Genomic DNA, 13,396 nt, shown 5'->3' on the forward strand with positions numbered 1-13,396 from the left:
AAATAAAATAAAAGAGGCCATGAAAAGGCTTTCCCCACCATGAAGTATAATAAAGACTAGGAAGCATTTAAGCATGATCAAAGACCTGAAAAACTCTAAGATTGTGGAACTGAGCACCAAACTAAAATACATGCGCCTCTAAGTCTGATGCTTATTGAGGAAAAACTCAAGAAGTTTGCCGAAGGACATAAAGTGTCTATAAAACCTTGTTTGTTGCCTGTAAGGTCGGGTTTCTTTAATCGAAAGATTGTCCTGATGTCATAGTGAGTAATAAAGCTGTGTGCTGATGCAGACAATGCAGAAATCTTTAGGAAAGGGAGAGCCTCTCTCTTTGGAAGTGGTCTCTGCATTTCCCACCTGGATAAGATTTGTGCAAGGCAGAGCCTTCAGGAATGTGGCTTCAAGTTGTTATGGCAGGTAGTTAGACAGGAGCAGGGCAGGAGAGGGCTCACCACAAACCAAGAATGTCAGGCGACCATCAGGTGATGGTCAGGTGGTTGTTAACTGTCTCTCTAAAATAATAATTTGTCACAGCAAGCTCCAGGGAAAAGCAGTCTCCCAATAGACAGAAATACCTGAAACCGGTGATCAGCAGCTTCCTAATAAGATCTCAGGAATCGGGCCAGTGGGTTCAAGCATGTGCACTAAGAGGCAACATGTCAGAGTTTAATTGGTATACGACCTTCTAGGAACAGGTGACTGGTAAAGGAAGAACGCCTCAAGTGAGCATGTGTACAACTCCAGTAAACACACTGCACATGCAGCCCCTCCCAAGTGCTGGCAGGCCACTGTGCACGTGGACAGCCCACCCCAAGAAGAGAATCAGGAGAGAAGGGAGACTTAAGACTCCAGAAGTATGCCAACATATAAAACCCCAAGTCAAAGCTCAAACAGAGCACTCGACTCTCTCAGGTTGCCCGCTTGACCCTCTTCCAAGTATACTTTACTTCTTTCCATGCTGGACCTAAAGCTTTTTAATAAACTTTCACTCTTGCTCTTCATCTTGCCTCGGTTTCTCTTCCTTATGCCTCTTGGTCGAATTCTTTCTTCTGAGAAGGCAAGAATTGAGGTTGCTGCAGACCTGTTCTGATCTACCACTGCTAACAATGTCAGACTTTGGGATTTCAAAAACGGGTAAAAAATGTTTTTAAAAAGGGAGGTAATACTAGGTTGAAAATTTTTATTTTGCCAACTGAGGACATGAAAAATACATCATTCCACCATTTCATAAAAATAGGAAGGGCATAATCTAAGATAAAGGACAACCCTTGAATGGAACACATTTAGCTTTAAGTGGAACCCAGGTGTAACTGACTTAGTCTATTTCCCACATCCACGCTGGAGCAGGACTTGTCATTTGATCACATCCCCCAAAAGTCAAATAGGATTCTGCAAATCATTAGCAAGTAATGCAGATTTTACTGATGATTTGGTGAAGCAATGGGATAGAGTGGCCTTGTAAACCACAAAACAGAACTAAAGTGAACTCCCCTCGCCGTGACTGTGAACTTCTCCTTGGTGACCTCATCTCCAGTTACCTCATCTCCAGCTCATCATTCCCCTTGCTACCTCCCAGAAAGGTTGAGGTGGGTGCCGGAACATCAGTTTATTGCTTTTCATAAAAATGGGCAGACCCAAGAGTGAAATAGTTGAAATCTGTAATCCAAACATCTCAGCCTTCCAGCTTCCTAGGGTGCCCTTTCCACCAACATCTAGGTAAAGGATGCCAGCCTGCTGTGGGAAAACCAGTGCTGTCCCCAGCAGTGCCATCGGCAGGGGAACAGGGTGGTGGGGGAAGCCTGTGCTCCTCACTGGCCACCTTTTTCCTTAGGCCCCTGAGTTTTCCTCTTGTTGGGGGCCCCTTTCTTCAGGCTACCTCCTGGGAGAGGTTCAAAATTTCTGTGAGTTTATTATGCAGTGCGATTTAGCTTCTTCTTTGTCTCATCCTTTCCAGTCCAAAGCAGCCCTGGGGCCTCTCTTTGCATAATTAAAAGATCCATTAAGGTGTTTTCCCAAACAAAAGAGCAGTTTTCTCCCTCAGAGGAATTCTATCATTCTCTTAGGACAACCATCTCCAACTGCGGTGAGATTTAATTAGGACAACCATCTCCAACTGCGGTGAGATTTAAAAATAATCACACACACACACACACACACTCGAACTCAGAATGAGAGCGAGAGAGAGAGAGAGAGAGAGAGAGAGAGAGAGAGAGAGAGAGAGAGAAACATCAGGCATCTCTTCCCTGTGGTTGAGGTACAGGTGGAACAGATTGTAACCAGAAGCTGCTGGGTTGATTTACTAGAATGCATGACTCCAGGAAGGCATATGTGGCCAGCAGTTTCTCTGTGTCTGCAGGTAGAGACTGAATGTGGAGTCAGGTAGATGGAATGTCTGGTGCTTCCACCCCAGGATGAGAGATGTCTCCCCTTCAGGTATGGAAGAGCTCTTGGTCTGCTGCTCCCAACTCCTGCCTTTACCTTCATGCATGAATCTCCTCAAGGCCACAGCCAAGTGCCTTTCTTCCTGTGCAGTTTACATGGGCCCTGCTGTCCCTGTCCTCCATGACCCTCCTGGTTCCTGTTTCCCCTTTTGGGCTTTGCCTTTTGGAAGCCTTTTCTAGTTCCCCTTCTGGGCTGACCCAAAGGCAGGCTAGTGCCTCAGCACAGGCTACAGTGGAGGGCCCTACCCTGGGTGTTGTTTCGTCGTATTTAGGGCACTTTCCATGTCCCTTGTAGTGCTAGTCTCAGAGCTTAACCAAGTTAAGCTCAAGCTGGTCTCCACGGTCTGGTCCTCAGGGCAGCTGGAGGGTCATAGCCCTGAGCTGGCCCCATGGTCCTCAGGGTTGGGGTATCATATCCCTGGGCTGGTCCCCATGGTGCTCAGGGTTTGGGGATCATGGTCCTCAGCTGGTCCAAGGCTGGGGGATCATACCCCTGGGCTAACTCCACATTCTCAGGGGTGGAGATCCACTGACTGTGAGGCCTTCCTCTCTCTTTGTGCTGGCTGCAACTCAATCCTACTCTTTCAGAGGCCTCTTCTCTCCCAGGAAGCCTTGTCAGGCTGCTTGAGCTTGAGAAGAACACCACTGGGGATGTTGTTAGCATCATATTCAAGAAGAGTGTGGATATTTGGGTGATGTCCAGTGGCTCTGTACTGGAACTTCCCTGTAAATGCAGAAACCAAAGGTAACGGGGTTAAGCCTTTCAGGAGAGAATCACTCCAGGCCAGTCTGAAGGGGAAATGAGGTGGGAGTGTTAGCAGAGTCCCCTGGGGAGGTCAGTTCCCAAAACTGCAGGGTCATCAGTCTTCATGGCCTGTCTCTGAGCAGCAGTGCAGGGGCTGGGAAGACTGAGCAAGTGTCCTGAAGGCTGGAGCTGGAAGCTTGGGGAGGAAGAATGTTGTTTTCTAGCATGGATCAGTGTTTTAGTCTTTCCAGGCTGTAACAGAATACCATAAACAGGATGGTTTATAAACAACAGAAATTTATTTCTCACAGTTCTAGAGGCTGGGAAGTCCAAGACCAAGGTGTTGGCAGATTTGATGTCTGGTGAGGGACTGCTTCCTCCTAGATGGACTTCTTGTTGTGTCCTCACTTGGTGGAAGAAGGAAGGGTCTCTCTGGGGCATCTTTTATATTTTGGTGTTTGGCCTTTTTTTTTGAGATGAGGTCTTGCTCTGTCATCCAGGCTGGAGTGCAGTGGTTCGATCACAGCTCACTGCAGATTTGACCTCCTGGGCTCAAGTGATCCTCCCACCTCAGCCTCCTGAGTAGCTGGGACTACAGGCACACACCACCATGCTTAGCTAATTTTTTTATTGTTTGTAGAGTTAGGGTTTTGCCATGTTGCTCAAGCTGGTCTTGAACTCCTGGGCTCAAGCAATCAGCCTGCCTTGGCCTCCCAAAGTACTGGGATTACAGATATGAGCCACTGCACCTAGCCTGGGGCATCTTTTATATGGTCACTAATCTCATTCACGAGGGCTCTGCTCCCATGACTTAATCACTTCCCAAAGGCCCCGCCTCCTAATACCATCACCTTGGAGGTTAGGATATCAACATATGAATTTTGGGGGGGAAACAAACATTGAGACCATAGCTGTTGGTATTCCCTCCCTTCTTCCACACCAGTAGTCTTCACTTTATAAGGAAAAGCAGCAAGTGGGGTCATGGGAGTGGGAAACACCAAGACCTTGAGAGGTCGTGGTCCCATTTTAGCCTTTAGCAGAGCACAAGCGTCTGCCCAGGGCAGACAATATTCTTGCCTTTTGGGCCATTGCAGTTGGAATTGGTGGTAAACAGCCCCAAGCCCAGCTCTTGCCCCGTCATTATTAGGGTGTCGTTATTACTTTTGCAGGCTGAACATATATTTGGGTGTAACAGGGTTCTCTTGAGCCAAACCAGTGTCCATCTCTTGAATTCAGTGAGGCTAGATATCTCTGGCAACAGTGGGACAGGATGCTCTTTTGTGTGGATTATGGTCCTTTGGGAAGAGTCCTCACCTAGGGGAATAGGCGGCCAGGCCAATAGATTTGCTCAGCAGAAGTCATTAGGGGACAGGAAAGTTCTGGGTCCTCTCTCTCTATCACTGACTTCCATGGACTCATGTCTGGATGCTAAGGTATGGGAGAGCAGATGGGTGGCATGGTTGGAATTGCAAAAGTCATTTTCCTAAAATTCCGTGAGGCAGTGAGGCACAAGCAACTCTGTTCCAGATCCCTTTGATAGAGTGGCATGGGAGGAGGGAGGTTCTGCCTCTGCTTTCAACTGCTGGGGGCACAGCTTTGCATCTGGAGGAATGGGCCCTGGCCCCACAGTGATGCCAGGTGGACCCAGCAGTACCCAGCAGAAGCGTCAGTGTCAGGCAGACACAGTTCCCAGCAGAAGAGAAATACATCAGCTGTCATATAGCAACTGACCAGCCATGTCCATGAACATATGTGGGACACCTGCTGGTACTCCCAGAAACACTTTGGGTTGGGGGATTTGCTTGTCAGCAGCCTTGGAATGACATGAGAAGAAAAAGAAACCAGGTTTTCTGTTGAAGAAAACAGAACCCCATTTTTGTCCACAGACGGATCCTTCCAAGCAGCTGCTCTGTAGAAGGGCTGGGCCTGTAGGTTCCTGCCTCGCATGTACCCTAGAGATGAGAGGCTGCCTGGCAGAACTGCCGGTGGCTGTGGCTTGGGCTGTCGGGGTCTTGGGGCCTGGATGCAATGTGATCTGACCCTGGGCTGCGCAGACCACCCAGCTCATAGCCCTGGCTGCCGCCAGTGCCTGCAATTTCTCAAGGTGAAAGCACTCTCCAGCGGGTCATTCGTCCGCGTCTGAGTGGTTTTCTGTTCGTGGAATCATTTATTTCTGGTGTCAGGGAGGCCCAGGGCGACTTTTCCCACTGGCTGTAAATGCTCCGAGCATCATCGATTCGTCTACTCCCATCTCCGGAAATCTGCTGGAGCAGCAAGTCTGTCTGGGATTCCTGGCTGGAAGGGCATGGGGCAGGGCAGGGGCTGGGGTGGCTTTGGTTCCCTCCCTCTCAGCAGAGGCAAGTGGAGGGATGCTGAAGCCTCCCCATCTCTCCAGAGAGCAGCCTCATGGTTTGGGCCCTGTGTTGGAGTTTCCTGATCTGCAGCTGGGGAAGTGTGGCTAGCTTGGCTTGTAATGACATCTGACACTCTTGAAGCCCACCCTTGAAGCCCACCCAGGGCCACTGAATGTGCCCCAGCTTGGCTGAGGACTCCCTCAGAGGGCATTCTCCTCCTCTCAAAGATGCCCCCAGATCTCCATTAATCCTCCTGTCAGTAGGCTGGAGCCCATCCAGGTAGGGACGGCAGCAAAACCCCAGACTGTAGGCAGGGGCACCACCCAGCCCCAGGTGGAGCAAAGTGGACTGGAGTCAGTGTAATGCACTCACCTCACAGCGTGATCATGAGACTTTGGGGACCTCATGCGAACTTGCCTGTGTGTGAATGCCTGTGTGTGTGTGTCTGTGTGCCATGGCTGCAGCATGTGTGGGCCTCCATGTCATCTTTGTGTTTGCACATGATCTTGTGCGATGAGGTGGGTGCTCGTGGGCTTCTATGTGTGTTTATGCATGCATGTTCACTTGGGTGTGACTTTCTGTAGGTGTTCATGTGTCTAAGTATGCATGTGTGTCTGTGTGTATGCTGGTATGTTTGTATCTGGTTGTGTGTCTGGTGTTCGCATTGCTGTGTGCGTGCATACTCATGGTGTTTGTGTGCCTGTGTCTCTGTGTGTGTGCATGTTCCTGGCATGCGTTTGTGTGTGCATGCTCATGGTGAATGTGTCTCTGTGCATGTATGCTCATGGTGTTTGTGTGCTTGTGTATCTGTGTGTGTGCATGCTCATGGCATATGTCTGTGTGCATGCTCATAATGGGTGTGCCTGTGTGCATGCATGCTCACGTGTGTGTCTGTATGTCTGTGTGTGCATGTTCACTGTGTGTATGCATGCTCATGGCATGTGTATCTGTGTATGCATGTTCATGGCACATGTGCGCCTGTGTGCATGTTCATGGTATGTGTCTCTGTGTGCATCCTCATGGTATGTGTGTCTATGTGTGACGCATGCTCATGGTGTTCGTGTGCCTGTGTCTCTCTGTGTGTGCATGCTTGTGGCGTGTGTGTGCCCATGTCCGAGTGGGATGTGTGTAGGGCTTGTGCCTATGTGTGCATGAGGATGCCTGAGAGTGTGCACCTCTCTCCAGTTCTCTCTCTCTTCTTAATCTTTTTTACCCAAGGATTTATGGAAAATTCCAGGGTGGAGGTGGTGGCTGGGGAGGGAGACCCTTAGCTATAGTCTCATTGGCCTCAGAGCTGCTCTGGAGCCAGAGGGGACAACATTTCCCAGGCTCTAAGAGCTTCTCCTGACAGAAAAGCATCAATCTGCTTGTCAAAGGGAAAATGGCCATTTGTCCTTGTCTGGAAGGACCCGAGGGCAGGGCTGGACCTGAGTAATCTCTGTCTCCTGGGCCCAGCACCAAGTAGGGTAAGTGACGGATGAGCTCAGGGGCTGGCAGGCTGTTCACCCTGGGGGCTGACACAGGCAGGCAGCCTGGTGGGGGTGGGCTGCAGCTTGGAAGAGGTGGGAGGGTCAGGAGAGGTGGGGGCTGAGGGAACTGGCCTGGTGGAGGTTGTGTTGGGGCTGCCTCCGTTGGCAGCTGGGGCAAGAGGCTGGGGATGATGGGTGAGCCTTGAGGGTGGGGTGGGGCCCCATTCCTTACTGATAGGCCGGGAGGAACATGGCACGCTCAGCATCTAGAGACACTCCCAGCCCTGACCCTACTTGTCAGGCCCTGCTGTCAGGAGGCCCTGGGTGGGGAAAGGGTCTGTTTCGGGGTTTCCCTGGGGAAGGGACAACTCTTCTCCATTTCCTCACCTTTCCCCTGCACTGTCTCCTAAGTGTTTTGGGCAATCCTTGCAGGTCTTCTCATCTGGGTGGGTGTCTGCTGTGTGACTGCCTGAGAAAACTGATGAACTTTGAGATCAGGCCCTTATCCTGGGATGTGACTCTGCCACTGACCTCTGACCAGAGGCTTCTCTCTCTGTGCCTCTATTTCCTTCTGTGCAGTGGATAGGGACCTTCCTGATCTGCCCATCTATGATCCTAGGGCTGGTAAGGCCTTTCTGGGAGCAGGAGTGGGGACACCCCTATGCACACTCTTCCCCTCCTTTCCCTTTCTGTGATTTGCCCCACGAGAGTGAGGCTGCTGTGCCGGTGGGCCTTGCAGAAGAGTCCCTTCCTATTGGGATAGTCCAGGCTTCATGACACCCCAGAAGCGAGTGGGCAGGAACCTGTGGTTACCTAGATGATCCATCTGAGCTTGGTCCTACATCCGGGGGTGAGCGGGTAGAGGAGGGAGCCACATGCTAGGGCTCACATTGAGGGGATGAGGATGCCACAAGGGTGGGACTAGATGACGCCTTCCTCCTGGTACAAGTGACTCTTCAGCCGGTGAGGACAGCACATTGCACATGTTTATTTGGCCCGTTCGTCTAATGCTGACTGAACTCTTACTCTGGGCTAGAGACTCTCCTTTGGCCCAGAGAACCCAGACTATTTTCAATCTTTGAGGATCCTGGTATATCGAGAAATGAAGGTCCTGAATTGCTGCCCTTCTGTAGTTCTCTCCTTGTTGAATCCGGGCCAGTCTTGTGGCTTGCTTGGGCAACAGAATGCAGCAAAAGGGACATCGTGCAAGTTCTGAGGCACGATGGAGCCTTACAGCCTCTGCTTTCAGTCTCATGTTGCCCTAGGACTCCCTGTAAAGGAGCCCATGCTAACATCCTTGAATATAGGAAGCCCTGTGGAAAGAGAGTGAGGCCTAGCCCACTCTCAGCCATGTCAGTCATCCCAGCTGGGCCTAAGCAGGTGAGTGAGGCTGTCTTGGTTCCTCCACCTCCAGTTGAGGTACCAGCTGGCTGCAAGTGCAAGAGTGAGTCAGCTGAAACCATCTGTTGCAGAAACAAGTTGCTCAGTTGAGCACAGCCCAGATTGCTAATTTTAGGCTACTAAGTTTTGGAATAGTTGTTTTTTTTTTTTTTCATGTAGCAGAGGCTAACTGAAATAGAAATTTGAAATAGGAGTAGAGGTGCTACTGTAGCAAAAATTTAAAACATATGGCAGCTGGGCACAGTGGCTCAAGCCTGCAATCTCAGCACTTTGGGAGGCTGAGGCAGGAGGATCGCTTAAGGCTAGGAGTTCGAGACCAGCCTGGGAAACATAGCAAGACCTCAACTCTAAAAAACAAACAAACAAACAAAAAACAATTAGCTAAGTTTGGTGGCTCACCCCTGTAGTCCCAGATACTTGGAAGGCTGAGGCAAGAGGATTGGTTGAGCCCAAGAGTTTGAGGGTGCAGTGGGCTGTGATCCTGCCACTGCAGTCCAGCCTGGGTGATAGAGCAAGACTCTGTCTCTAAAAATAAGTAAATAAATAAAATAAAAATAAAATACACAGATAGACTTTGGGACTTCATGGCAGCTGGAGGATGGAAGGATGACAAAGAAACTGTTATTGGACAATGGGAGAACAGTGAGGAAGCTGTTATTGGAGGCTGGAGAAAAGGCAACCTGTGTTATATAACACAATTAGTGTTGTTTGGAGGATAGAAAATGCAGCTAATAAACCTGTGGATCTAGCTAAGGAGATTTCCACAGAGAATATTGAAAGTGCCTACTGGCTTCTTTTAGCAGCATAAGATAAGGTATCATAAGGGAGGGAAGAATTCAAGAAGGAGCCATTCAGTTTTCAAGCAAAATCTAGACGCAATATAGACAGTCTAGGACAGTCTCTCCAGCAAAAGATACTCAAAATAAGAAATGGTCCCAGGGTAAAGAACGAATCAATATTGTGGCTGTAAGACTCTGTTTAGACCTCAGAAAGATTTAAGCCAGTACCTCGTAGATCCTCTTAGCTAGACAAAGGAGCTTCTGAAACAATCTGGACACCAACCCAAAGTAGAAAGAGATGTAGCTCGGAAAGTATTATAAATGTGGCTTTTGAAGCATGGAGTCGCTCCCACCCAGATTCATGGGAAATCCACACAAAAAAGAGAATTGTCTTGGGAAAAAAAATATACTAACTTGGATTAAAAGGTACAGAGGCTGAGTGTGGTGGTTCATGCTTCTAGTCCCAGCACTTTGGTAGGCTGGAGTGGGAGAATGGCCTGAGCTCAGGAGTTTGAGACCAGCAGCCTGGGCAACATAGCGAGAACTTGTCTCTACTAAAATTTTTTTTTAAAAATTAGCCAGCTGTGGTTGCGTGCACCTGTAGTCCCAGTTACTTAGGAGGACGAGGTGGGAGGATTGCTTGAGCCCAGGAGTTCGAGGCTGCACTTAGCTATGATCACACCACTACACTCCAACACCCCAGCCTGGGTGACAGAGACAGACTCTGTCTCAAAAAATAAAAATAAAAAGACAGAAACAACAAAATGAAAAACGATCTCTAGGCTTCCAACTTTTTACAGGCAGAAAACAGAGATCCAGCTGTAAATAGGATCTATTCATTTTTGAAAAGGGAGATGTCTCAGATAGTGGAGCCCAGAGTATGAAGCCAAGAACCAAAGAGAACAATAGGTTAGGAAATCACTCCCAGGAAGCACAAAATAGGTCCTAGTCAAAGAAAACTCCTTGCCTTTAGAGTAGAGGGAACTGATAATATCTGCCCAGCTAGATTTCAAAATCACTATGGAATAGTGACTACATGTACCTCCCACTTGCCTCTCCCCTTTGTTAAATTAATTAATTAATTAATTAATTTAGAGACAGGGTCTTGCTCTGTCACCCAGGCTGGAGTGCAGTGGCTGGATCATAGCTCACTGCAGCCTTGAACTCTTGGGCTCAAGTGATCCTCCTAACTGGGACTATAGTCGCATGCCACCATGACTGGATAATTTATTTTTTGTTGTTTTATTTTATTTTTTGGAGAGACAGTATCTTGCTATGTTGCCCAGGCTGATCTTGAACTCCTGGCCTCAAGTGATCCTCCCACATCAGTCTTTCAAAATACTGGGATTGCAGGCATGAGTCACTGTGCCTAGCCTACCCCCGCCTTTTAGATGGGGGTTTCTCTTGAGGGATATTCTATCCCCATCTTGGTATGGTATGTTAAGTGTGTCGAGGTCAAATAACTTTTTAATTCCTGAGTCTTTGGATCAACATAAGCTCTACCCACGGAACTACACCTAAGGACCCCCATCAGTCTCTGCTTCTGTGGTTCCTTGATGTTCCCCTGCTTCTGTGCTATATGTAGGGAACAAGAATTGCTTCACAGGAGCCCTAATATCTTGGGTGACACTTTCTATAGGGGAAGCACAGGCAGCCCTGATGGGTTCCCCCAGTCATCTTTTCCTTTTTTGAAGGATAATACATGTTCACAGCTGAATCACTCTATTGGCTGGTTTCCTGCCTATAGAATCCCAGAATAATGGCAGCTTTCTTTCATTTTTTCCTGTCTCTGTTCCATTTAGCCCAAGCTGGTAGTGTTGTTGGTGACATGACATTCTCAAAATCCTGGTGGGTCTCCTGTGTATATTAAGAGGATCCACTTCATTAGACACAGAGTTCTTTACAGATCCTTCCTCGGTAGCCCCATCTCTATTCCTGGCTCCTGCTGAGATGGTTGGTTGGATCCGTAATTTGTACATCTAACGGCACCAGAAGATTGCTCAGCCACACCCTTGGTGTTCCTCTAGAGCATGCCTTATCATCTTTTATAATATGGATGAGTTGAAAATATTCCAAATAATCAAGTTCTGGTTCCTTTTTGCTTAGTAGCTCCTTCTCAATTTATCTCTTTCCCCTTGCATTTTACTAAAAACAGCAAGGAGAAACCAGACTGCACCTTCCATATTTTGCTTGGAAATCTCTTCAGCTAGATATCCAAGTTACTTACCAGTTCTATTTTCCACCCAACACTAAAACACAACTCAGCCAAGTTCTTTGCCACTCTTTCCTCCAGTTTCCAATGATAGGCTCCTTATTTCAATCTCAGATATCACCAAAGATCTTTAATGTTCATATTTCAACTGATATTTTTTCATGACAATATACATTTTCTCTAAGATGATAGGTGCTTTCTCTGCTGTGCTCTTCCTTCTGAGTCCTCACCAGAGTATACTTTAATGCCTATATTTGTACTGATAATCTCTTTCGACAGTCTAGGCTTAAAATTCCTCCAGCCTCTACCCATCACCCAATTCCAAAGCCCTTACATATTTTAGGCAGCACCACTTCTTGGTACCAAAATCTGTATCCGTTGTCTAGAGCTGTTGTAACAAGTTACCACCAACTAGGTGGCTTAGACCAATAGAAGTTTATCATCTCACAGTTCAGGAGGCCAGAAGTCCCAGATTAAGCTGTCAGCAGAGTTGGATCCTTCTGGAGGTTGTGAGGGAGGACACGTTCCATGCGTCTCCCTGGCTTCTGGTGGTCCCTGGCAACCTTTGGCATTTCATGTCTTGTAGTTGCCTCACTCCAATATCTGTCTCCATCTTTACATGACTATCTTCCCCATGTTTGTCCTCTGTGTCACTTTATGGCCTTCTTAGAAGGATACCAGAAGGTCCACCCTAAACCAATATAATGTCATTTTAGCAAATTACATTTGCAAAGACCTTATTTCCGAATAAGGTCACATTCTGAGGTCCTGGGGTTGACATGCATTTTGGGGGGCACACTATTCAACCCTGTACAAATATTCATTAATTTCTTAACTCCTACAACCCTCTGAAGAATACTTGCATAGATGCGTGAGAGAGGAATGAATTTATTTCAGAAGAGACTGTAGGAAATACCTGGTCCCATGTTTGGTCCAAGGCTGTGATACCCTCCATAGTATTCATTGTGATCTTTCTTCTCTTCCTGGACTTTTTCAGTGCAGTGTTCCCGGGTTATCCCAACTAAAAATTCAACCCATCTTGTACCCTGATTGGGATTGACACTAAGTCCCTTGTCCTTGCTTTATTTTCTTTCTAGCATTTATCACTATTAACAAAACTTATATTTTACTTATTTCTTTTGTTCATTGTTTGCCTTCCCCACTGGGATAGCCTCTGTGAGGGCAAAGATTTTTGTTCATGTATCCACTTCTATATTCTCAGCACTCAGAACAGTGTCTGGTGCATAGTAGGTGCTCAATAAAAAGTTGTCATATAACTGAATGCATGCGTGAATGAAAGGACTCCTGGAAACTGGGCATCTAGCTGTTGTGGACAGGGAGCCCGTTCTTTCACTGGGCAAATTTTGCCATTTTTAGTCATGTAGTGAATCCTTAGAAGAGGCAGGGCCAGGCCTCCAGAGTCCTTGCTTTGAGCCTCATGGGTCTGTTGGACAGTTTCAGAATCTTAGGAAATAATTGGGGTGGTTGGTTGGCTGGAGGAGAAAATGAAATAAGAGTTGGGATTCTCTGGGGCTGCCACTGACCCACTGGGTCATCTTGACAACTTTGTTCTGTCTCTCCTGGCCCCTGGCTCCCTGACCTCAGCCTCCTTCACTTGGCTATCTGGAAAGCAGTTACTTTCTCTCCTGGCCCCCCGTTTTCTCTCTTTGGCATGTGGGAATTAAAGACAAAAGGTCTCAAAATCACTTTGAACTCCATGGAGGGTGCCAAATAATCTGAGGACATTATTAGTATAAGACAATTCCTTTGAAAATGGAAATTGCGTATCACACAATCTCTCAAACACAGGGTGGAATTAATGAGCAATTTGCTCAAGATTCACAACTTCAAAATGATCTTCCAGGTGGCCAAAGGAAATTCACATTTACACTTCAATCAGAAATTTTTTTGTAGAATGTAAGGGGGGAGGGTTTAATTTTCTGAGATCACAAATGCCTATCCCCATCCCAAGGAGAAGAGAGCCCGTGATAAAGA

General features: G+C 47.6%; 1 annotated feature.

Moving 5' to 3' along the window:
* Positions 1,758-2,283: an enhancer, noted in NCBI's record as "NANOG hESC enhancer chr15:73113063-73113588 (GRCh37/hg19 assembly coordinates)". NCBI's record gives its function as "activates a minimal SCP1, AML or CMV promoter by ChIP-STARR-seq in naive H9 embryonic stem cells {active_cell/tissue: H9 hESC(naive)}" and the evidence as "EXISTENCE:reporter gene assay evidence [ECO:0000049][PMID:30033119]".

Source organism: Homo sapiens, chromosome 15 (assembly GCF_000001405.40).
Source record: "Homo sapiens chromosome 15, GRCh38.p14 Primary Assembly".
Taxonomy (NCBI): Eukaryota; Metazoa; Chordata; class Mammalia; order Primates; family Hominidae; genus Homo; species Homo sapiens.